This window comes from Homo sapiens, chromosome 1 (genome assembly GCF_000001405.40).
Source record: "Homo sapiens chromosome 1, GRCh38.p14 Primary Assembly".
Lineage (NCBI taxonomy): Eukaryota > Metazoa > Chordata > Mammalia > Primates > Hominidae > Homo > Homo sapiens.
The window spans coordinates 183940131-183964328 of record NC_000001.11 but is presented as its reverse complement, the minus strand read 5'-3'; the positions used below and the strand labels follow the sequence as shown (position 1 = coordinate 183964328).

General features: G+C 40.3%; 1 protein-coding gene across 3 annotated transcripts in view, besides 3 other annotated features; it reads left to right on the top strand.

The window, feature by feature from the left end:
- The window catches only part of COLGALT2 (collagen beta(1-O)galactosyltransferase 2), a 108067-nt gene that overhangs the window by 73400 nt on the left and 10469 nt on the right, over positions 1-24198 (top strand). For all 3 annotated transcript variants that reach the window (NM_001303420.2, NM_001303421.2, NM_015101.4), the window contains exons 6-11: positions 309-428; positions 9491-9567; positions 13216-13322; positions 18765-18897; positions 20006-20133; positions 23542-23748. In NM_001303420.2, the coding sequence (NP_001290349.1) occupies positions 309-428; positions 9491-9567; positions 13216-13322; positions 18765-18897; positions 20006-20133; positions 23542-23748 (772 nt within the window). The remainder of the gene's footprint in view (positions 1-308; positions 429-9490; positions 9568-13215; positions 13323-18764; positions 18898-20005; positions 20134-23541; positions 23749-24198) is intronic.
- Positions 8333-8497: a silencer, noted in NCBI's record as "fragment chr1:183924966-183925130 (GRCh37/hg19 assembly coordinates)". NCBI's record gives its function as "represses an EF-1alpha promoter that drives an FKBP-Casp9 reporter gene in an ReSE screen in HepG2 liver carcinoma cells {active_cell/tissue: HepG2}" and the evidence as "EXISTENCE:reporter gene assay evidence [ECO:0000049][PMID:32094911]".
- Positions 17844-18686: an enhancer, noted in NCBI's record as "OCT4-NANOG-H3K27ac hESC enhancer chr1:183914777-183915619 (GRCh37/hg19 assembly coordinates)". NCBI's record gives its function as "activates a minimal SCP1, AML or CMV promoter by ChIP-STARR-seq in naive H9 embryonic stem cells {active_cell/tissue: H9 hESC(naive)}" and the evidence as "EXISTENCE:reporter gene assay evidence [ECO:0000049][PMID:30033119]".
- Positions 18687-19529: an enhancer, noted in NCBI's record as "OCT4-NANOG-H3K27ac hESC enhancer chr1:183913934-183914776 (GRCh37/hg19 assembly coordinates)". NCBI's record gives its function as "activates a minimal SCP1, AML or CMV promoter by ChIP-STARR-seq in naive H9 embryonic stem cells {active_cell/tissue: H9 hESC(naive)}" and the evidence as "EXISTENCE:reporter gene assay evidence [ECO:0000049][PMID:30033119]".

Sequence of the window (24198 nt, the reverse complement as noted above, 5' to 3'; positions counted from 1 at the left end):
GCCTCCCTTTTGATCCTTTCATGCCTTTTTTGTTCATTCCAGGCCATGAGTTTGCTTTTTCTTCAGAGGGAAAAAATCAATTTCCTCTGGGCTGAAGAATAGCCGAGTGTTTTTATTAGTCCCCAATGCTGTGTTTTACTTTTTTAATAAAGGAGCATTTTTTAGGTCTATAGACATACCTGAAACAACCACTTATTTAATTGCAGTGTCAAACTCAGCATCAGACACAGTTCAGGTTCCTTCTCCTCGCTTGTCACTCAGCAGTATGTTTTCTGATTGTTGGCTTTGTCCCTCTCTTGGATCCTCAGGCATCCAGATGTACCTCTGCAACAGAGAGCACTATGGCTACCTGCCCATCCCCCTGAAGCCCCATCAGACACTGCAGGAAGACATCGAGAACCTCATCCATGTGCAGATTGAAGCAATGAGTGAGTGACCCAGGAGCAGAGGGGATGGCTCTCGTTCCATTGCCACAGTGACCATACCAGCCACTTCCCTCCTCTTCCAGGATTGGAATCTCACAGCCATCAGTCTCCCCTGGCTGAATACATAGCTATTTATTTGTTCATTCTTTCCTAAATTTTTCCTATGGGAAATATGAATATGACAAGGTCTTTGCCATGTGGGAGCTTCCCATCCTGGAAGAGCGCTGGGTACACAAGTAAATACTTTCCAAAAGATCTGATAAGTGCTATAATAGTGTTTTGTGGTGTGGACTTAAACCCTAACTTGGCTGCTTTCTAATTATATGACTTTGAGCAAGTAATATCCTTAGTTGTAAAATGGAAATAATGAAAACTTCCAGGGTTTTTGGGCAGATTCATTATGGTATATGTAAAAAGGCTAATACAGCCACAGTAGTTATGACTTTAACTTAATAATAGCTCATGATGTAACAGATATCACTGTTACATCATAAAATGCTAAGCACTTTTTGTACATTAAAGTGTACAAAACTGTTTCATTGTTGTTTCATTAATCCTTGCAACAATTCAATGAAGGGTTTTTATTATGCCCATATTAAAGATGAAAAACAATGAGATGTTACCTTAAGTAACTTGCCCTAGATCATTCTGCTAAACAAATGACAGATTGGGATTTGAACCCATCTTGCTATCTCCAAAGTTCATGTCCTTAAACACTATTGTTATTGCCTCTGGGTCTGGCATGATGCATGAATTGCTGTGCTCAGTCATCAGTAGCTATGCTTTTTATTATGTGTGATGTACAATGGTGGCTAAAAGAGAAAGTAACCAATCCACCTAACCTAGGGGAAGATGTTGAAATGGCTTCCCAAAGCAGGGACTATTTTCTGTTATTCATCAGTAGAGCACGGGGGTGTGAACGTGGGCAGTGGAGGTGGTTAGGGAGGAACAGCAGAAACTGAGGCTAGAAAGTGGGCAGGAGCCCCGCCAAGAGGCTCTGATGTATAAGAAGGCATTTGGGCTTCAGCTGAAAGGACAGGCACGCTCAAAAAGATTTTAGCACAGAAATGTCAGGTTGAATTTGGATTTAGAAAGGTCACTCTACAGGTAAGAAAAGTGTAGGTGGAGCATGCATGGGATGCATGGGCAGTGGCTGCTGGTCTCAGGCCAGGGGTGAAGAGACCACTTTGGACATTTCACGGCTACTGGGCAAAAGGTGGTGAGGACCTGAGCTAGAGCAGTAACAGTGGGAATGGAGAGGAAGGAACAGAAGCTTAGGACATAGGCTTGAAAGGACATAGCCAAGAGTTGATTGTAGGTAGATGAGCAAAAGGGAGGCATAGAGAAAACTCCCAAGTTCTGTCTTGAGTGTCTGGGGGTGATTTTAGGAACTTTAAATGGAATAGGGCATGTAGCATAAAGGAGAGGTTTGAAAAGAGAGACCATGGCTGGCATGGTGGCTCATGGCTGTAATCCCAGCACTTTAGGAGGCTGAGGCAGGTGGATCACCTGAGGTCAGGAGTTCAAGATCAGCCTGGCCAACATGGTGAAACCTGTCTCTACTAAAAATACAAAAATAAGCTGGGCATGGTAGTGCACATCTGTAGTCCCAGTTACTCGGAAGGCTGAGGCAGGAGAATTGCTTGAACCCAGGAGGCAGAGGTTGCAGTGAGCCAAGATCGCGCCATTGCACTCCAGCCTGAGTGACAGAGTGAGACTCCATCTCAAAAAAAAAAAAAAAAAAAAAAAGAAAGAGAAAAAGAAAAGAAAAGAAAACAGAGACCATGAGTTTATTTTTAGATCCATTGAGTTGTCTATGAGTATCTGCTTCCCACTCCCTTGCTCCTACACTATAAATTCCTTTTTCATCATATTAGTCTCAGGACCTAGCACATTGTCTGTCACGTGGTAGATGCCCAGCAAATATTTGTTAAATGACTGAATGAATGATGATGAAATGATGAAATAAGGAGCTGGTTCACTGTGACAGTATTTCTTGAACCAGCCCTCAGGAATCTCCTTTGCGAATTTCTTTAATACATACTTTTTCTGCCACTTTCCCTATGTTCTAGGCCCTAAAGGATATGGGTGGCATCTTATTGCTTTGTATTCCAAGCACCTAGCACAGTGCGTGGCATGTAGTTGTTACCAAAAAAAATCTGCTGAATGCATGAACAAATGAGCAAATGAATGAATGAAAACTGTATTGACAAGGGCACTGAACCCAAAGCGAGAATAATGGGCTTGAACTTAGACACTGTCGCTTTTGAAGGGAGAATCAGATTTCAGGACTTCAGTTTCTTCATCTATAGAGTGATTTTGCAATGTTGAGAAGAGCAAATAAAAGACTATATCAACTCCATAAAATAATGAGGTGTTGCTATTATTATGACTCCATTTACCTCTCGATAAAGTGCTGTCCCTTATTATCCCTGTTTCATGGCTCTCGGTCTCGACTCCCAAGTAGGGAGAGTCTCTCTGGCCTCAGAGAGAGGCCAGCCAGACCTTATGTTCTCTTGTTTTCTCCCACAGGGCTGAGAGTATAAGCTCTCAGTACACAGAAATGCACGTGTCATCAATAAAGATTTTAATGATTGTAAATTACAAATATGCACACTACCATGCTAGCCAGGTAGAGTTCATTTGAGAAGAACCTGTAAATTATAGCTTTCATCATTGATCTCCCAACACATGCCACCTCTAGTGCTAAGCACTTTACATATCGCATTTTATTTCATTCTTATACTTACCTTCTGTCCTGAATTCTAAAAATATAGAACACAATAGGAGTAAGAAAATGTTGGAAAAATAAAATTTTGAGGTGTATAATGAAGAAATATGGCCTAGAAGTCCGTGTAAGATTGATAAAAAGTTGGTAATGACAAAATCCTATCAGTCAAGTATCCTTCTCTAATAAAAGATTAACTAGGTGTTAAAAACACTTTGCATAGTGCCTAGAACCCAATAAGCAGTAAATAAATGGCTGCTAATAGTGTTGTTAGACTATACTGATTGAAGAATAGGAACGGGGTGTCCAATATTTTGACTTCCCTGGGCCACACTGGAAGAAGAAAGATTGTCTTGGGCCACACATAAAATATACTAACACAACAATAGCTGATGAGCTAAAAAAAAAATCACAAAAAGAATCACATAGCGTTTTAAGAAAGTTTACAAATTTGTATTGGGTCACATTCAGAGCAATCCTGGGCCACATGTGGCCTGCGGGCCATGGTTGAACAAGCTTGCATTAGTATATGCATTTTGTTCATGAGCAAACATAGAATGCCTGTAATGTATGCGTCTTCTCTGAAGGTACTAGGGATTCAAAACATTTTATGATCAATTCTCTGTTTTCAGGTATGTATGATTTAATAGGAGAAACAGACAGATGTTAAAAAAACACTAACAACACAGTATAGCATTTTGAGAAAGGAGAAAATATCAAAGAAATAGGAATTTGGGATAGAGAGAGATTGCTATGGCCTGTGTGATCCAGGAGAGCCTCAAGTCCTAATCGTTCTTAGGCTAAGCTTGGGTACAAGTGTAAAATTTAAACAAGAAGAGTGGTATGGTGAGGACACTACAGGCAGAGGAAACAGACCAAGAAAAGACGAAGTATTCTCATGCTGAAGGAGAGCTGACTTAAAACAGTAGGCAGAAATAAAGTTCGAGAGGGTGGAGTGGCTTCATTGTTGTAGTCCTTGAATTCTTCTTCAGCTAAAGAAGAATTCCTATCTTAAGGAGCCAATGAAGGTGTTAGAAGAGATAATCAGGCTGTAAGGATTTATTCAACACATACTGTACCCCGCAGATTGTTCAAGATGCTGGGCATAAAGCAGTGAACAAAACAGGCAGAAGCCCTGCCATCAGGGAACTTATATTCTAACACAGAGAGTTAGACAATAGACAATATATCTGGGAAGCAGCCATATGAATATTTGGGTGAAGAATGTCTCAAGTGGAAAGAACAGCACATGTAAAGACTGTTAGACAGGAAAAGCTTGGGGGTGTTCCAGGGACAAAAGGCCAGCATGATTGGGGCATAAAGAATGAGTTGGGTCAAGGGAGATGAAGTAATGGAAGAAGAAATGTCCAGATCACACCGAACATTCTGGCCATGGTAAGGAATTTAGATTTTACTCCAAGAGTAATGGGAATCCGTGGAAGATGGGGTGGGGCAGAGGGGGCATGGCCTGAAGTGACTTGTGCATTTAGAAGGATCATTTGGGCTGTGGTGAGGATACTAGATTGTAGGGGACCAGTACCTCTCTCCTGGTGGGACATGATGGTGATTGGGATGTGAGCTCTAGCAAGGAGTTGATGAGAAACAGACAGGTTGAGGATATATTTTGGTGGTGGAGCAACAGGACTTACAGAGACCTGAATGCAGTCCATGAAGGAAAGAAAGGAATCAAGATGAGTCCAAGATTTTAGCCTGATATGCCATTTACTGAGATGGGAAAGACTTTATAGAAAAAGACTGGGGGTTGGGGAGCTAGTTTTGGTCACGTAAGTTTAAGATATTTAATAGGCATCTAAATAGAAAGGCAGAAGATAGTTGGATATATAAGTCTGGAGTTCAGGGAAGAAACTCCAGCTAGAGACAGATATTTGAGAATCATCAGCATCAGAAGGATATTTGAAGCTGTGGAACAGTCTGAACTCATGTAGTAAAAGAACACAGGATGAGAAGAGGACAGATCCCTGGGGAAGACAAAACAGCCAGAGAGCTAGGAGGAAAAATTGAGAAGTGTTTCAAGACGGAGCCAAGATGCTGCTGAGAAGCCAAGGAAAATAAGGATAAAGAATTGGTCATTGGTTCTGTCAAGAGAGAGGTCTGTGATGACCTTGACATGGGCCACTTCAGTGCAATGATGAGAACACAAATCCATTCAAGTGGACTGAAGAGAAGCCAATGGGGAGATGAGAAAGCTGAATCTTGATGGGATGGGGAAATGGAGAAATCCGATGGAGGCTGTTGGGGGTAAGAGGTCAAGGGAAAGGTTTTTCTGGTTAGGTTGTTTGTACTGTTTTTTTAAAAAAATAGAAATATAACAGTATGTTTTATGCCAGTCACAAGGATCCAGTATATAAGGAGATCTTGATGATGTAAAAGAGAAGGTAATTATAAGGTGAAAACAAGAGGGTTTTTGTCCTGGGTTGCAGCCCAGAACAATATTGCAGAGGCTATACTAGATAGAAACTTCATCTACTGTGGCAGATGGGATGGCAGAATGTATTGATACACATGCAGTTTGGTTTGTGGACTTGAGGTGGATTGAAAAGGTAGATCTAATTTGATTTTGAATATTTTCTTTCTGAAGTATATAGGCCAGTCAGTCATGAGCTAGACAGAGATTTTGGAGATTTTAGGAGAGAGAAGACAAAAGATACAATCTCTCAAAGAGTGGGAAAATAAATTTACTATGAAAGGACACTTACATCATTTGGTGGTGTCAAGTGCCAATTTGACATCTGTGATTGTAGCTTTGAAGTGACTCAGTCAACACAATTGTGTATGTTTCTCCCAGTAGTCCTCTTGGTGCTGAGTAAGTGGGCAATGGGTTTAACCAGGATTAGGGTTTTATCAGGCATCAGTGGACGAGAATTGAAAATCTTGTGAAGGGGATGGTCAGGGAATTTCTGAATTGTAGACTGGAGTTTTAGAAATCAGAGTTGAAGAATTTGAGTGAGGTGGGAGAAGGGTTATGACGACAATGACTAACACTTATTAAAAGCACTGTGCCCATCTCTTTTCATGTGATAACTCATTTAGTACATTAGAAGCTGCACAGAGAATTTGGGGATGTGCTGCCTTCGGGAGATGAATGACAGGAGGCCAGATCTTATAAAGATGTTAGATTTAAATGGTCTATAAAGCATGAGGAGATTACTCTTGCAAATTACAGCATAAGGTGATAGGAAGTCTCAGGTACCTGCTCTCAGTATTGACATTTTGAGACAACAGTACATCATGTAAAAATTATTAAGATAATTGGACTTGAAGTTATGTCTAAAACTGAGTTCCAGCTCTGCCAATCACTCAGTATTTGACCTTGGACAAGTCTACATCTGGCTTGGTCTCAGTTTCTTTATTTGTAAAAAAAAAAAAAAAAAAAAAACCACCACAAAAAAGTGAAGATAAAATTACATGGTGACTATGAAAACACCTAGCAACCTGTTAAGCCCTTAAATATAGTGTTGAGTGTGACTGTTACAGTTGAGAACAGAGCTGTGCGGCGGAAGATTATTTTGACAACAGTGAGCATGATTAATTAGAATAGGAAAGACTGAGAGCATGTAAGTGTTTGAAAAAAATCAAAAACAGCCCAGGCATAGTGGGTAAGGACCCAAGCTAGGCTGCAACAATGGAAGAAGTTCAGGAGAAATTATAGAGAAGAAGCGGTAGGATTTGATCCAAGTACAATCTATCATGTACTATTCCAGACATGACTGGGCTTAAATGAGCTACTCTGGACCCAGCCCAGTTGCCTGGTTGGCTAATACCAGTGGCCACCAAGGACTAGCTCTGGGGATGATGTGGAATGGGAATTAAGAGCTCCGGTAAAGGAGTAGGACCTAGGTTCAAATACCAGCTCTATCAGCTCTGTGATCTTGGGCAAGTTATTTAATGTTTGTTTCCTTGTCTATAAAAATAGAGACACTCATACATATCCCATGGTACATGTGAACATTAAATATATGTGATTATATATGTCAAGTATATATGTGACATATATATATATCACTCACAGAACTCTGGGTTCTGTGAGTGATAAGACCTCTGTAACAATGGCTGTAATTATTCACATTAGATCTTGAAACTATCCCGAAAGCAATGAAGCCCATTGTCCCAAGTGGCAGTACAGGGAAGGATTATTTCCAGGAAGGGATTTAATGAGAGACCAGATCAATTATGAAAGATGGAGTCAGAAATGACTACAAACAGAAGCCAGGATATACCTAACCTTCAAGTCTGTTGTCAGCAAAGATACATCCTTCTCCCCACAGACTAAGTTTCTTAGGTCTGACTCACTGTATCACTTCCTGTTTTCCTCTGTGGCTTACTGCTGCCTTCAGTGGCAAAACCCAAGCACACTTCTCTGATATTTTTGCTCAGTGATGACTTTCGGGAGCCAACCACTTGTGGCTTTTTTTTTGCAACACTTGTCCTGTGAATGCAATGACTGCCTATGTTTGATGGAAACAAAGTGGCTAAAAGCAGTCTCTTTGGCTGAAATGTTAAAGCCACACAGGCCATGTGAGTCCAAAGGAGACCAGCAGCCTAGAATGGGTAACTCAAAATATAACATCTTCCCAAGTCTCAGGCCCCAGGAGGGAGAGTGAGACAGCTCCTCAGACAATATCATGAACAGGAGGAAGCTGGTACATTAAGCTTCTTTCTCTTAAAAACCTAACCGTGTACCTGGTGGACCCTCCCTATTGATTTTAAAAGAAACTAATAAGGAGTGGAGTGGAGCAGAAAGGACCAGAATATTCTCGGCTGCTATTGGGAAGACAAAGACATGCACTGCATATGCACAGAAATATGACTGTAAGTGTCAAGTTTGAAGTAATGAGACCAGCTCTTGTGTTTGGCCTAAGAACTCTGTCTCACTACGTTCTAGAATTTCACATCATTCGCCAATAAGTAAAATTGGATGTCAGGATTTCTCTATAATATTTCAGTGAAGTTAAACAGATCATACCCTTTGGACAGTATCTCAGGATGGGCAAAGTTATGCTGGAATATAAAAATCTGATTGGCTTCATACAACAATGGCTTATTTCTTGCTATCCAAGTCTGCAGAGCAGGTGTCTTTCCTGGGAGCTGCCCTTCATGTGTTGATGCAATGTTCCAGGCTGCTTCCAATTCACATCTGCTATCCATATCCACACATGCCGCTATGAGCACAGTGGTGGGACCAAGGGCAGTGTCGGGGGAGCCCTTGGAGAGTGGAGCAGCAGCACCACACTATAAACTTTCCCCAGAAAGTCATATAGCCCTGAGTAACTTCAAGGGCAAGAGAGTGTATTCCTCTCCTGTGCCTGGAATAGAGGTGAACAGATACGTTACAGTAGTCATGGCCATTACCCATAGTTCTTTCAACAACCCAGTTACCAGCTATCATTTTAAATTTTCTTTGTATTATCCCTTTAAGGAAAATCAAATGAGGACTTTGAATTTGTATAATACTAAACATTCTTCGAGGACTTTGAATTTTTATAATACTAAACATTCTTCAAGGCCTTTTCAGGTTTCTTAACCAATATTACTTCCAAACTTTAAAATACATAGTTTGCAAAGGAAGCTTTTTTAGAGTATCAAATAAATAAAACTTTCATTATTGAAGAAGTAGTGTCACTCCCAGCTGGAATCTTCCCATTAGACATGGGCCAGCTCTCTGTGGTTAGATCCTGTTAAAGCAATGGACCTTTTGCGCACCCACACCTAAACCTGCCCAGGTGGGATAAAAATAGTCCCCCACTTTGACAATTTTAAATGCAGAGAAAAAAGTGTTTTTCAGTAAAAATTCTAGCCTATTTCTGAGCTCTTTCATCATGGGCCATAGTAAGTAATAGCTAAGAGTTGTTGAGCATTTACTGTGTTAAAGTGGTGAGTGCTTTGCACGCAGGTCTCATTTAAATTTTATAACACAGATACACTTCTATTATCCCAATTTTACACCAAAGAAATGAGCTTAAAGAGGTCCCCTAACTCTCCTACTCCTTCGCAAACCAAGGTTTGGACCCAGATCATCCGACTCTGGAGCCCTTCCTCTTAACCATTATCCTAAACTGCCTCCCAAATATTCTTGAAATAAGTCTTAAGGGAAGTGGAGCAAATGTTGCAATCTCCATATAATCAAATGCTCCTGAAACCAGTGCCCTGACCAGCAGGGTTCCTGTGTGGCTACTCAATCCTGGAGAACTGCTGCCATTGTCCCCTGCCCTGTATTTCCAAGTTATATTCCAACCCTAGAGATCAGGCATGCGGATGGAATTCTGATTTCTGACCCTTTCATTAACAAAGCACTCTGCATGTTTCTTGTGTCTTCCAGTTGACCGTCCTCCAATGGAACCCTCCCAGTATGTCTCAGTTGTCCCTAAATATCCAGACAAGATGGGATTTGATGAGGTAGGAAAGGTGTCTATATGTGTGTGCACATGCACGCGTGTGCAGGCTTGTGTGTTCATTTTGGAACACAAGCCTGAGCTTGCATCTGAGAGCCAGCAAGACTGGCTTGGCTGCTGAAATGGCTCTGAGGTCTTGGGAAAACTACTTGGTTTTTGTTGTTCTCAGTTTCCTTATCTTAAAAAAAGGAGTATCATGATAAATGTAGTTAATCATTTACTTAGAAAGAAATTACCATTTAGTAATGAAAGTGAATTTGATATTTTCTAGGAGCAGATATTGTGATATTTTTAATCAACCTTTTTATCAAAATTCAAGAGTAAGATACAGAGGATACATGTTTTAGATATGGAGGACTTTAATTTTATTCTGCCACATCTGAGCAAGTGGAAACTATTCTGGAACTTTCTGTGCTTTCTTTTATTTCTACTATTCTTCCATGGAAAAAGGTTAGAGAGCAGGGTTGAGAGGACAAAGAAAGAAAAAAAAACATATTTGTTCTAAAATTCTGCCTTTCAGCAGGCAAGAACTTCCTAATAATATTCTAAGGGTAGTATTTATTATTAAGTTTTAGTTGTATAAAGAATGAAGCAGAAATATTAAGAGGTTCCCCTCCTGGTAATATGCGTAACAGATACTTGGCAGGGATTGTGACTCCACATCACTGACTCTCTCATGGGTGTCCCCTGTAGCTGCTGAACAGTATTCAGAAGGAGCTTGGTGGTCTAGAAGCTAGGGCAGTGCCTCAGGAGTCCACAAACTGAGAACTCTTCCATGGACTCTGGATATGTAACAGATCAGGCTTCGAGCTTGGTGCTAATTGCCACTGATTAATCGAAGGAAGATGCCTTATTTATCACATGGTAACATATACATACATATATGTACATGTCCCCAGAGTACAGCCTTCTCAAAGGGATTTGACGCTAGAACTGGGAATTAAGATTTCTTCCGTAAGACTGATTTGGAGCTATACTTCAGGAAGGGGGAAAGAATATTTCATGATTATTAAGTGGGGAAGAGTTAACAGCTACTATGGTATTTCCACAAAGGGCAGAATGAGAAGAGATGAGCTGCATGTAGTAGAGAGGAATAAGACTCATTTGCAAATAGTTTTTAAAAATGATCAGGGCTATAGAGAAGGTTGTCCCACACCCACAGTGGACCAGCTTCCACATGTTACTGTAGCTTTCCTTCCCTACAGCTCTCTCTCGGTTCCCTAGGTGAAAGGACCCAAGTGTCCTTACATAGATTCATTTCTCCTCCTAAAAACATTCCTATGAGGACCAAACCAAAGCAAATAAAATAAGACAAAACCAGGATCTTCCAGTTCCGGTCTTCTTTGGGCAGGACACGGTGTAAGGACTGGGTCACTCCTAGAGCCCTTCAGGAGAAGGCCAACTCCATGAAGTGGCACAGGCTCGGAGACTCTACTTTCCTGAGTCTGAGGTTAGTCACCTCTCCGTATGGAACAGAGATAGCATGGTAGAAAAAGGGCTTTTCAGGGGCTTTTCAATCCTCCTCGGACTCTGTGACCTCACTGGTGGTGTCTGGGCTGCATTTGGCTCTGATGCTCTTTTCTCTGTTTACTGTTCACTAAGTGTGAGTGAGCCATCTGTGTTTTTACTTCGTGGCTACAGTTTTATTGCACTTGTCCTGGCAGGGACTGGAACTGGATTGTTATTTACTGAAAGTCTTCCCAGACTGGAGGTCTCTGTTTTTGGGGGCCTTTTTGGATTTATTTCTGTTGATTTTTTGTTCTGTTCTGTTTTTGTTCTCTTAGAGTGACCTCAGGTGGCTTCATGTTTATACCTGAGAAAATGCCCTTTCCTTTCCATATCTGGAAAATTAGGGGATGAGGCATGACCCATCACAGTATGATTCTGACTAAAAGAACACAACCCATTAAGTTATAAAGTCCCAAGTAATGAGGCAAATAGAGTCACCACAGAAAATTATGTTTTTTACAAAATAATTACCCAGTTAGGTAAACAAGGAAGGTAGTAAAATTAGGATGCACTTAATCTACTTGGCCCTAAATCAGGTGGACAATTTCTTCAAAGGGAATATCTTGCTCCTCCATCAGTTTCTACACCCAGGGATTTATAAATGGATAGAAATGAGAATATTTTGCAAGGAAGGGTTGAAATTTTAGTTAGTGTAGCTTTTAATTCCAGTGAAACATATATTTATGACTGCATTCAGAATGACCATGTGAACCAAACCTTAACACAGTACAATCTGAACTCCAGACTGGTTCTAAGACAAAGTTTCTCCTTTATTCTGGCCATAGCAGAAAGCCAACTTTATTATAAACCACCTGTCTTAAACATTTTAATCTGTACTGAATTTGAAAGATGAGTTTGTGCACCTCCCTATTTTTATAGAACTGGACCCATAAACATTAATGTCTCCTCAAAGTCATCCAGATGGTTAGTCAGGATGAAGTCAACACCACCTGACTTGTTTCTATAGGTTTCTGCTTTACCATGCTATGTGTCATCCTCATTTCTCACTGGCAGTTAAAGTCACTAGTTTAACATTTAAAATGAGTTTCTTACTATTTGTAGCAAAAGGACCTTATTAAAACATTGATTTACGTGTAAAGGCATTCACAAAGCTTTAGATACTTCTATGGTTCATTAAGTCTGGGAATAGTGAGGACATCCTCATTATCTGTAACTCTTGTTGTCCTTGTTGAAAATGAGTTGGCTGTAAATGTGTGCACTTATTTCTGGTTCTCTATTCTGTTCCATGGTCTACGTGTTGTCTATTCTTATGCCAGTACCATGCTGTTTTGGTTACTATAGCTTTGTAGAATATTTTGAAGGCAGGTAGTGTGCTGCCTCAAGCCTTGTTCTTTTTGCTCAGGACAGCTTTGACTATTCAGGGTCTTTTGTGGTTCCATGAAAATTTTAAGATTTTTTTCTGGTTCTATGAAAAATGTCATTTGTATTTTGGTAGAGATTGCACTGAATCTGTTTATCACATTTGATAGTATGGACATTTTAGCAATATTAATTATTCCAATCTATGAACATGGGATATCTTTCTTTTCTTAATATCCTTCCATTTTTTTCCATCAGTGTTTTATAGTTTTCATTATAAAGATCTTTACCTTCTTTGGTTAAATTTATTCCTGAGTATTATTAAATTTTTTTGTAGTTACTATAAATGGGATTGCTTTTTCTATTTCTTTTTCAGATTGTTGTTAGCATATATAAATGCTAATGATTTTTGTGCGTTGACTTTGTATCTTGCAACTTTACTGAAGCTGTTTATCAATTCTAATGGTTTTTTGGTGGCATCTTTAGGTTTTTCTAAACATAGGATCGTATTGTCCTTTGACCTCTTAAAGAGTAGTTTTTTAAACTTTCCTATTTCAAGAGAAGGGAGAACATATTTATCAATGAACATCAGAAAAACAAAGAGAGTTAAGTCACTACGAAGAGTTGAGTTTTGAAAATAATTCAGTTTGAATTAGTATCATTTACCTTAAACACTGATGTGAGATAGAAATGAATTTTCACGACAGTTCTTCCTATCTTTTCCACTCCTTCTTCTATCTAAAACATTTACTAAACTTTTCAAACAGCCTAAAAGAAGACTTGAGTAATTTATGTGTCTTTTCCCTTTTCCTTCTTGCATTAGATTTTCATGATAAACCTCAAACGCAGAAAGGACAGGCGGGACCGGATGCTGCGCACACTGTATGAACAGGAGATTGAGGTCAAGATTGTCGAGGCTGTGGATGGAAAGTGAGTTGGGTTTCTTCTCCCATTGCAGATGTGATTGGAGTGTGGATGTGTCTTCTCTGACAGAGAGTTAGTCCCAGGTGGGGCTCTAAGTCTCTTCGGTCATTAGAGGATAGTCTTATTTTCAAAACGGCCACCTGTAGTAGCATTTAAGTTAATTTCATCCTGTAGAGCAGGCCTGAAATCCACTCACCAGCCAGTGGTCTTTGGTCTTCATTACACTGAAGGCTCACATTGGATGTGATTGTCCCGTCTCTGGGGGTTCTTGCAACAGTTGTGGTGGTTTTCAGCCTTCTGTAGTGTAACAGAAGGAATGTGTTCAGAATTGTGTTCAGAGCTGAATTAGAGCATAAAGTGCTGAAACTTGGTCAATCTGAAGAAAATAGATGGAAAATGCATAAAGGTGTACATTTCCTGTTGCATGAGATGCCTGCCACAATCTGCCTGGACCGATCATAGTGGCCACTTTTCCTGGAAATATGGCAGGAAAGTAACACAGGGAACCTAGTTAGATCCCTTCTTTTTTTTTTTTTTTATTTTGTTCAGCTTTGCCCTTTTATTTGACACCCTAAACTATTTCAAGGCATAGATTTTTATAAAATGTGCCTTTCCATGTTATATGTTGGTTTAGAATATCAGTAGCTTTGTTTTCTATTTGCATAACTCCAACTAAGGAGTATGGCTAGCAGCTGTTGAAGTTTTTATGACTCCCTTAGAGAATCTCATCAGTGTTTCCCAAAGTGTGACCTGGACACTCACATCAGAGTCCCCACGGATGGTTAAGGGGACAGCTCCCTCAGTCCCATCTCAGACCTGCTGAATTATGCTCTCTGAGGCTGGACCCAGGATCTGCATTTAAGAAGCCTCAAGGTGATTCTTAGACAGGATTGCCCCATAAAATACTGGATAGCCAGTTAAATTTGTCCCAAACATCACATGGGGCTTGGTTATACTAAAAAATTATCCATTATTTATCTGAAACTTAAATTTGACTGAGTGTTTTGTGTTTTTCACTTCCTAAATCTGTCAGCCCTATTCTTGGGTGCAGTAGAGTTTAGGAACCACTGCTTCAAATACCTCCAAGAACACCAGTCCCATTCATAGACCACATGGACCAGGGAAACTAGTTGAGTAGTGAGAGTTCTTTATATATCCTGGATGCAAGTCCTTTATCAGATATGTAATTGTCAAATATTTTCTTTAACTTTATGCATTATTGATTGTCACAATTTCATGATGGTATACATTGAAGCAAAAGAGTTTTTCATTTTGATGAAATCCAATTTATTTTTTGTTCTTGTTGCTAGTAATTTTAGTGTCATACCTAAGAATCCATTGTCAATTTCAAAGCCATGAAGATTTACTTCATGAAATTTTCTTCTGAGAGTTCTACAGTTTTATCTATTACATTTAGGTATTTGATCTATGTTGAGTAAATTTTTGTATATGGCATGAGGCAGGGATCCATATTCATTCTTTTGCACATGGTTATCCATTTGTCCCTTCACCATTTGTTAAAAAGACTTTCGTTTCCCTCGTAGAATTGTCTTGGCACCATTGTAAAAAGCCAGTTGCCCATAAATGTAAGGATTTATTTCTGAACTCTCTATTTTATTTGATTGATCTATATGTCTATCCTTATGCCAGTACTATACCGTCTTGATGACTGTAGCTTTGTATTTAAGAAGTATGAGTCCTTCAATTTTGTTATTCTTTTTCGAGTTTGTCTCAGCTATTCTGGGTCCCTTACTTTTTCCATATGAATTTTAGAATTAGCTTGTCAAGTTCCACAAATAAAGAAAACGGCAGCTGGGATTTTGATAGGAATTGCATTGAGTCTGTAGATCAACTGGGAGAATATTTCCGTGTTAACAATATGAAGTCTTCTGATTCGTAATCATGGAATGTCTTTTTATTATTTAGATCTTCTTTAGTTCTTTGAATGATGTTTTGTCATTTTCAGTATACAAGTCTTGCATTTATTTTGTTAAATATACTCCTAAGTATTTTACTCTTTTGATGCTATGGTACATGGAACTATTTCCTTAGTTCTATTTTCAGATTGTTCATTGCTAAATGAATAAGAATACAATTGATTTTTGTATATTGATCCTGTATCCTGCAACCTTGCTGAACCCTTTTTATCAGTTCTAATAGTACTTTTTCCTTTGTGTGTGTATATTCCTTAGGATCTTCTACATACAAGACCATGTCACATGCAAGTAGAGATAGTGTTATATGTTCCTTTCAAACCTGGATACCATTTATTTCTTCTTCATGTCCAACTACCCTTGCTGGATCATCAAGTACAATGTTGAATAGAACTGTTGAGTGCAGTTTCTTGATTTGTTCCTGATCTTAGAGGGAAAGCATTCAGTCCGTCACTGCTAAGTATGATGTTAATTGTGGGTTTTTCACAGATGGCCTTTACTGGGTTGAGGAAGGTCCCTTTTAGTCCTATTTTGTTGAGTATTTTTATCATAAAAGGGTATTGGATTTTGTCAAATGGTTTGTCCGTGTCTATTAAGATGAACATGTGACTTTTGCCTGTTAATATGGTACGTTACTTTGATTGGTTTTCACATGTTAAACCAAACTTGCAACCCTGGGATAATCCTGGGACCCATTTGGTCATGCTGTATAATTCCTTTTATAAATTGCTGGATTCTCTTGCTAGTATTTGCTTGAAGATTTCCACATCTATATTAATAAGTGATATTGGTCTGCAGTTTTCTTATAATGTTTTTGGTTTTGTATCAAAATAATATTGGCTTCATAAAATCAGCTGGGATGTGTTCCCTCCTCCTCTTTTTTTTTGGAAGTTTGTGAAAGATTCGTGTTAACAATTTTTAAACATTTGGCAGAAACCCCTAGTGAAGCCATCTGGTTCTAGGCTTTTCTTTATGGAAATTTTTTTTATTACTAATTAAACTTCTTTTCTTGTTATTTATTTACTTTCTATTTCTTCTTGAGTCAATTTTGGTAGTTTGTACCTTCCTATCAATTTGTCCATTTCATCTAGGTTATCTAATTTGTTGCCATACAATTGTTCATAGTATTATCATATAATCTTTTTTACTTTCATAAGGTCAGTAGGAGTGACCCCTCTTTCATTCTTGACTTTAATAGTTTGAGTTTACTTTTTTTTAATTCATCAGTTTAGGCAAATAATTGTCAATTTTGTTGATCTTTTCAGAGGACTGACTTTTGGTTTTGTTGATTTTTCTCTATTGTTTTTCTATTCTCTAGTTCATTTATTTGTACTGTAACCTTTATTATTTTCTTCCTCCTGTTTGCTTTGGGTTTAATTTTCTCTTTATCTAGTTTCTTAAGATGGATGGGAGGATTATTATTTGAGATATTCTATTTTACTAGAGACATTTGCAGCTGTAACTATATCTCCAAGTACTATGTTAAGTGTATCGCATAAGTTTTGGTATGCTGTGTTTTCATTCATCTCAAAATATTTTCTAATTTCCCTTGCAATTTCTTCTTTGACCCATTGGTTAGGAGTGTATTGTTTAATTCCACATTTCTGAATTTCCCAAGTTTCCTTTGGTTATTGATTTTTAATTTCAAACCATTGAGGTTGGAGAACATACCTTGTGTGATTTCAATCCTTTTAAGTATACTGACACTTAATTTATGACCTATATGGTCTTTATGGTCTAAAAAATGGTATTTCTTAGAGAATGTTCTATGCACACTTGAAAGTGTGTATTTGGCTATTGTTGGGTGGAATGTTCTATAGATGTCTGCTAGGTCTGATTATTTTAAGATATTATTCAAGTCTTCTGTTTCCTTGTCTTCCTCCTGCCTAGTTCTATTATTGCAGGTGGGATATTGATGTCTTCCCCTATTATTGTTGAATTGTCTGTTTCTCCTTTCAATTCTTCCAGTTTCATGGTTCTGAGGTTCTGTTAGGTGCATATGTATTTATAATTGTTATGCCTTCCTGATGGATTGACCTTTTTTTTTTGAGATGGAGTCTTGCCCTGTCACCCAGGCTGCAGTGCAATGGCACGATCTTGGCTCACTGCAAGCTCCAGCTCCCAGATTCACACCATTCTCCTGCCTCAGCCTCCCAAGTAGCTGGGACTACAGGCACCCACCACCATGGCCGGCTAATTTTTTGTATTTTTAGTAGAGATGGGGTTTCACCGTGTTAGCCAGGATGGTCTCGATCTCCAGACCTTCTGATCTGCCCACCTCGGCCTCCCAAAGTCGTGGGATTACAGGCGTGAGCCACCACTCCCGGCCCAGATTAACCTTTTTATCATTAAAAAATGTCCTTCCTTGGCTCTAGCATGAATTTTGTCTGAGATTTATTTTGCCCAATATTAGCATAGCTCTGCCAGCTCTCTTGTCATTGCTGATTATATGGTATATCTTTTTCTATTCTTTTACTTTCAACCTATTTTTGTCTTTTAATCTAAAGGCTGCCTCTTATAGATACCACATGGTTGTATTAATTTTTAAAACTTACTATGCCAAATTCTTCCTTCATTGCAGTGTTTTATTCATTTGCCTTCACTACATTTTTTTCCAGATCCTTAAGGTCAGCCAGAGGTGAGAGACTAGGGACTTCTCAAGTTTTTCCTGGGCGTGTGGACAGCCCTGAATATGCCTGGGGCCTTCTAGATTCTCAGGGATATTTTGGAGCAAATCAAACTCCCTATGGACCTCTTATTCCTTGGTTTTTCCTTTTAAGTTTTTTGGTGGGCTTCTTGTTAGCATCAGCTGATAATGCTTCTCAAACAGCTGTAATGTTAAACAGTTGTTGCTCATGGGTTTTGACAAATGACCTGCAGATAGTGCTGTTCACAGAAAATGAACTCTGAGTCAGGTCAAATCAAGACAAGCTCTGAGAATGTAGCTTTTCAAGGAGCTACTAGACAGGTTGAATAGAGATTATTTTCTGGGGGCAGGTCTTTAAGGGAGTCTCAGTCCATTTTGTCCCTGCCAGTGGCTTCTGGGTTGGTGGGGTTTGCCGCTCTCTTAGTTGTGAGGCTACTGGTTTTCAAGGCTTTTGTAGGGCTGGGGTGAACAGGTTAGGATTAGGGCAGCTGTGAACTTCACAAAGCTCACTGTGTTAACAGAGATTCAGCAGTAGGTCTTGATCAAACACTCCTTGGATTATTGCAGTACTTTAACTAATTTCCATAGGAGTGTACTTATTAAATCTTGTCAAAAAACTGATGATGCTTAGAACTATGTTGGGCACTATGAGGGATACACAAAAATATGATACCCTCTTGTCTTCCCAGACCTCATAATACTAGTGTGACACATTAGCCTGGAGGAACTTCTAAGGAATAAAGGGAAGCCTCTCTGTCTTTGTCTGTGTGGGGGAGGGGTGTTTGCAGAACTAACTCTCTCTTTCTCTGGCCTTTGTGGTGGGGACCTTTGACTTGTTAATCTCCAGACGTGTTTTATGTGATGCAGGGCACTCAACACAAGCCAGCTGAAGGCACTGAATATTGAAATGCTGCCTGGCTATCGAGATCCCTATTCCTCCAGGCCTCTAACAAGGGGTGAAATCGGCTGCTTTCTCAGCCACTACTCAGTCTGGAAAGAGGTAAATAATGCTTTATTCAGATTGCAGTTTTATGATGAGGAGAAAGGAAAGCAGGCTATCGTAGGTGAGTTAGGGCCAGATGTAAAGTGAGCCCGCAACTGTTCTGGAAATGTGCATGAGAGCTGCTCCTGCCTTGTGTCTCCCTCTGACCCAAGACCAGCAACAAAGGGGCAAGGAGGAGTAGCTTTGGTGCCACTTGGGGTGGTGACGGGGGAGACACCCATGTCCTGTGTGCCACACTCTTATTAATTCATTATCATCATTAGCAGGAATGCCTTCTATTATACCTATTATGACATCACTTATTAAGTGATTTTATACAAGAAATCACACAGAAGTCATGTGAGGTGGGTTGGGAAGGACAGACCACCTTTACCGAAGAAGAAATTATTAAGTAGCTTGACCCGGTAAGAAGTGGCAGAGCCAGAAGTGGAACCCCTGTCTTACAGATCAAGACATATCTGGAGCAGATATTGGTGTGTGGGGTTCCTGATAAACAGTCAGTTTCCACAACCAAAAAGAAAGTCCCTGAAGAAAGGCCCCTTGAACACTTTCTCTTTTAATGATCCAGTCTATGCCTGCCTTTGTTTTCTTTAAACTTTAAGTGAAATGTGATAAATAGGTATAAAAAGATATAGATCAAAAGATACAGCTCAGGGAAATTTCACAAACCAAACAACACACCCATGTTAATCAGTACACAGATCCAGAAGCAGGTAACCAGCATCCCACAAGCACCCCCCCACCCCGTACTGCCTTCTGGTCATCAGTCCCCAAGGGCAGTCACCATCCTGACTTCTAAAGGCATTGAATAGCTTTACCTTTGTTTGTACTTTCCCTTATATGAATGGAATCATGCAGTATGTGTACTCTCCTAACATGACATTTAGGAGATTCACCTATAACGTTGCGTTTAATTGTGATCATATATCCTCACTGCTGTGAATATTCCAAAGTTTATTATCTATTCTACTGTTGATGGCCATTTGCTTAGATTCCAGTTATGAATCTGTGCTACTAGACTCGTGACTTTTTAATACTTATTTATCTAATAAAAATTGGGTTTCAAACTTTTCATAGGGTATCTTCCTACTGATGACTTTTGCAGGTAATTGATCGAGAGCTAGAGAAGACTCTTGTAATTGAAGACGATGTGCGTTTTGAGCATCAGTTTAAGAAGAAGCTGATGAAGCTGATGGATAACATTGACCAGGCTCAGCTGGACTGGGAACTGATGTGAGTGACAAGATGATCTTACGAGAGGGCTCTGAGAGGCACTCAGTCCTTTCCAATGCGCAGAGAGCCCCACCTCCACAGCCAGTAGGAGATACAGCTTAAGCTTCCACTTATCTAGTTTTCTTTCCATAAATGTTCTCAGAAATAAAAATGGGTAGAGGTTAGCCACTGGATTTTGCATCCTTCTACTCTTCAGGGTGGGAAACTGTGGAAGATTGTCTGAGACCTGGAGTCGGCCTGCAGATCAGGGACCTTCAGACAGAACCAAGGTGTGGCACTGAGCACTTACTTAGGAGCACAGCAGAAATCCCACCCTCAATTAACGTGGCACATGGAGTGGGTGTGAAGCTGGAGAAGAGGCCATTTATTCAAGCTCTAAAGTCCTGTGTCATATTTAAGACTCAGCTCCCGGGACAGCAGGTTGCCTCTGCAGCTTCCGAGAAGGTGGGAGGTTAGAGGGTCAGCCAGGGAGCTCCTCTGTTGGGAAATGGGGCTGCACAAACATGAAGAACATGGACAACTAGATTTGGGGAAGGGTCTGAGGCTGATGCAGGAAAACCAGGCTCACCAAGGGAGTGCTGGCTCTGAGCTGACATTTAGTTAATGTTCTTTGTCTACTCTCTGGGAATTGAGTGGCTTCTGCTTTTTTCTTCCCTTCCCTTTCATTTTTCCTTCCCTTCCCTTTCATTTTTCCTCTCCCTCTCTCCCTTCCTCTTTCCTTTTTCTTCTTCCTCCTCTGCCTCCTCCTTTCTCTCTCTCATTTTCTTTTTAAAACAAATGACACTTTCAATTTCTCTCCAATGAAGCAGAAAGTTCCCAAGCATTGTGTTTGCTCCCAGCTGTGTGTCAAAGGCAATTCATCAACTCTGAGCCTGCTTCTTTGGAGCAGCTGCAGCAGAGGAGCTGTCCCTGCTTCTCCCACCCACAGGCGGTATTTAACTGTGGGCCCAGGTGGAATACTTGTTCCCTCAGAAAATGGGCCACTCTGAGCTCAGAAGAAACCTAGCAATGGCTCAACTAATGCGTCACTGTGTAATAAGACACCTATGCCCTGTCAGATTTCAGTCATGTGGTCATGTGGTTTGGTTTGGCATTCTGCACAGTCCCTTGAGATCACTGTTTCTTCCTATATCCTCCAGAAGTCGCTGCACTTCAGCCTTTCTCAATGGATGGCTCCGCAGCCTGTGGTTAAGGCCTCACAGGCCTGGAAGCTACTTGATGTCCACGTGACTTGTATAAAGGCAACTTCACTTAAGCCTCATAATCACAGAAGACTGAGCCCAGAGAATCTAAGGTTTAGAGCTGGCATACGTTCCCGTTCACATGTAGTTCGGTGGGTGCATTTCTCAGGACAAAGTACCGACAGATGCAAGAAGGAAGAACAGTTGTCTTGATAAGGATACAGGAAAAAAATGTTTTCTAAATTTCACAGGTTGATCAAGTCAAAATATCCCCTTAAAATCTATTATATAGTCTTAAAGAACTGTAACAGTTTTAAATTGTACCTGTTATTTTCTAAAACAAAAAAGAAACAAATGTTACTTAAACCTAAAACATGAAAGGTAATAAGCTGTTCATGATTGCCACATTACATCTTTCCAGGAAAAGAAAATAATAAAAGGGAAGAATAGAACAAGTCATTGGAATCATTGAGGGAGTGTTGTTCAATAGAAATATAATGCAAGCCACATATGTCATTTTCAGTTTTCTAGTAATCACATTAAAAAGGTAAAAATAAATTAGACTAAATTAGTTTTAATACATTTTATTTAACAAAAATATCCAAACAGTATCATCATTTTGGTATGTAATTAATATTTTAAAACCATTAATGACATAGTTTACCTTCTTTTTTTTTTTGTACCAACTCTTCAAAATCTGGTATGTATTTTACACTTAGAACACCTCTCAATCCAGAAGCTAAATTTTCAGCTGTTTAAGTAAACTGGGCTGGGCGCAGTGGCTCACGCCTGTAATCCCAGCACTTTGGGAGGCCGAGGCGGGTGGATCACGAGGTCAGGAGATCGAGACCATCCTGGCTAACACGGTGAAACCACGTCTCTAGTAAAAATACAAAAAATTAGCCGGGCATGGTGGCGGGCTCCTGTAGTCCCAGCTACTCAGGAGGCTGAGGCAGGAGACTGGCATGAACCCAGGAGGCGGAGCTTACAGTGAGCTCAGATTGCACCACTGCACTCCAGCCTGGGCGACAGAGCAAGGCTCCATAAAAAAAAAAAAAAAGTAAACTGTCGTCCTACCAAAACAATGAACTTGTTTCATGGAAAAAATATATATATTTCACACAGCTTCAACATTTAAAATTAAATTAATTAAAGTTAGAGCATTAACTCAGCACCTCTATCACTCTAGTTCCTCTCAAGTGCTCGATAAGAGTTTCCCTTCCACTGGATGAGACACGAGAGAAGCTCAGACTCCGTAATCTGAAGAGAGAGTGGCTGGGGATATATGTTTGTTGTTCTCAGAAGAACTGAAGATTGAACATAGACTTGTTCTACAAATCCTGGGATGCTTTCACAAGGGGGAATCCCTTGAATGTTGAAAGAGATTGTTTTAGGGCAAAATAGAGGAAGTACTGCTTTACCTGGCAGGCAAGAAGGAGGCAACTCCTCAGGTTGCTCCAGTCAAGCCCAAATCAATAGGTTCCGGACAAAAGTAATGGAGCACAGATCCATGGGTAGACTAGGGAAGATGGGAGTGGCCAAAGGTGCATCCTGTGTTGTAGAAGTTGTTCACGGAGGACGGAAGGTGCCTGGGGGGCCTTTCTCAGAGCAGCATGTCTGGGAGGAAGCCTGGCCACAGCTGGACGAGTGTGAGGCAGGAGAATGCCTGTCAGGAGCTGTCATTCATCCTCCCCAAAAGGAACCCCTTAGGGCCACTCTTGGGTTCCCAGAACCTTCACTGCAGACTGACTCTTTCCCCCAGCTTATTTGGTCCTGTGTTTCCCACCAGCACTCGGAGTGCTGTGCAGAAGGCATCCAAGGCTGACACTCTGGGGACCTGAAGACAGCAGCCTCAGGATTCTCCCATCTGGCCTTTTTTTGTGCCTTTCCAACCTCTGTAAACACAGCTGGAAGCCCCATCCCATCTTTAAGAAATGATCTGAAAGATCTTTTAATCTTACGACATCTTACTTTCCGTCTTGAAAACCGTCCACTAGGCAGGAATAGTGGGGGTGTTGATAAATGGAGCTAGCAAAATGGCCCCAGTGATGGCAGATGGCAGTCCTGACTGGCGATTGGATCCACTTTTGGATGTGATACATCATTTAATGACAGACAGAGTCAGTCCAGGATTTCAGAGGTATCTATGTAAACCAAAGCTGTGCTTCATCCTTATCATGGCATAATAGTCAAGGTGGAATTTTTCTCCTCTGCCATTTCCTTACAGTTATATTGGTAGGAAGAGGATGCAAGTAAAGGAGCCAGAGAAAGCAGTGCCCAATGTGGCAAACCTGGTCGAAGCCGACTATTCCTACTGGACCCTGGGCTACGTCATCTCTCTGGAAGGAGCACAGAAGCTGGTTGGAGCCAATCCTTTTGGGAAGATGCTGCCAGTGGATGAGTTTCTGCCAGTCATGTACAACAAGCATCCCGTGTGAGTCTCCCTGAACTGCCTGCCTTCCCTTGGGCACAGCCTCTTCATGAATTATGCTCTCCATTTCTGGTAGTACTTGATATTTTCTAAAGTTGTACTGCTTTCCTAAATGATCTTCTCATAATTATGATTAAGAGAGCCTAACTCAGGTGATTTATCCCTTTGTACAGATGGGAAGGTGAGGCAGAGATGGTGAGTGTCCTGCCCAGAGATTCTTGTAATATCCAGTTTGTAGTTGAACTGAATGTAATGTGCTTGGTCCCCTCCTTGTCTTTGCTCTTCTTATTTCCATAACCTCATACACCTCAAGGTGAAGGCCATCTTCCTAAGCACCTCAAAATTTCCAGTTCCTTTGGCTCAGGTCATTGGGTACTGTTGGCTAAGCAGAGATACCCATTTTTGCATAGCTCACAATCTGGTCAGGAACCCAGACTCATGAACAAATCATCA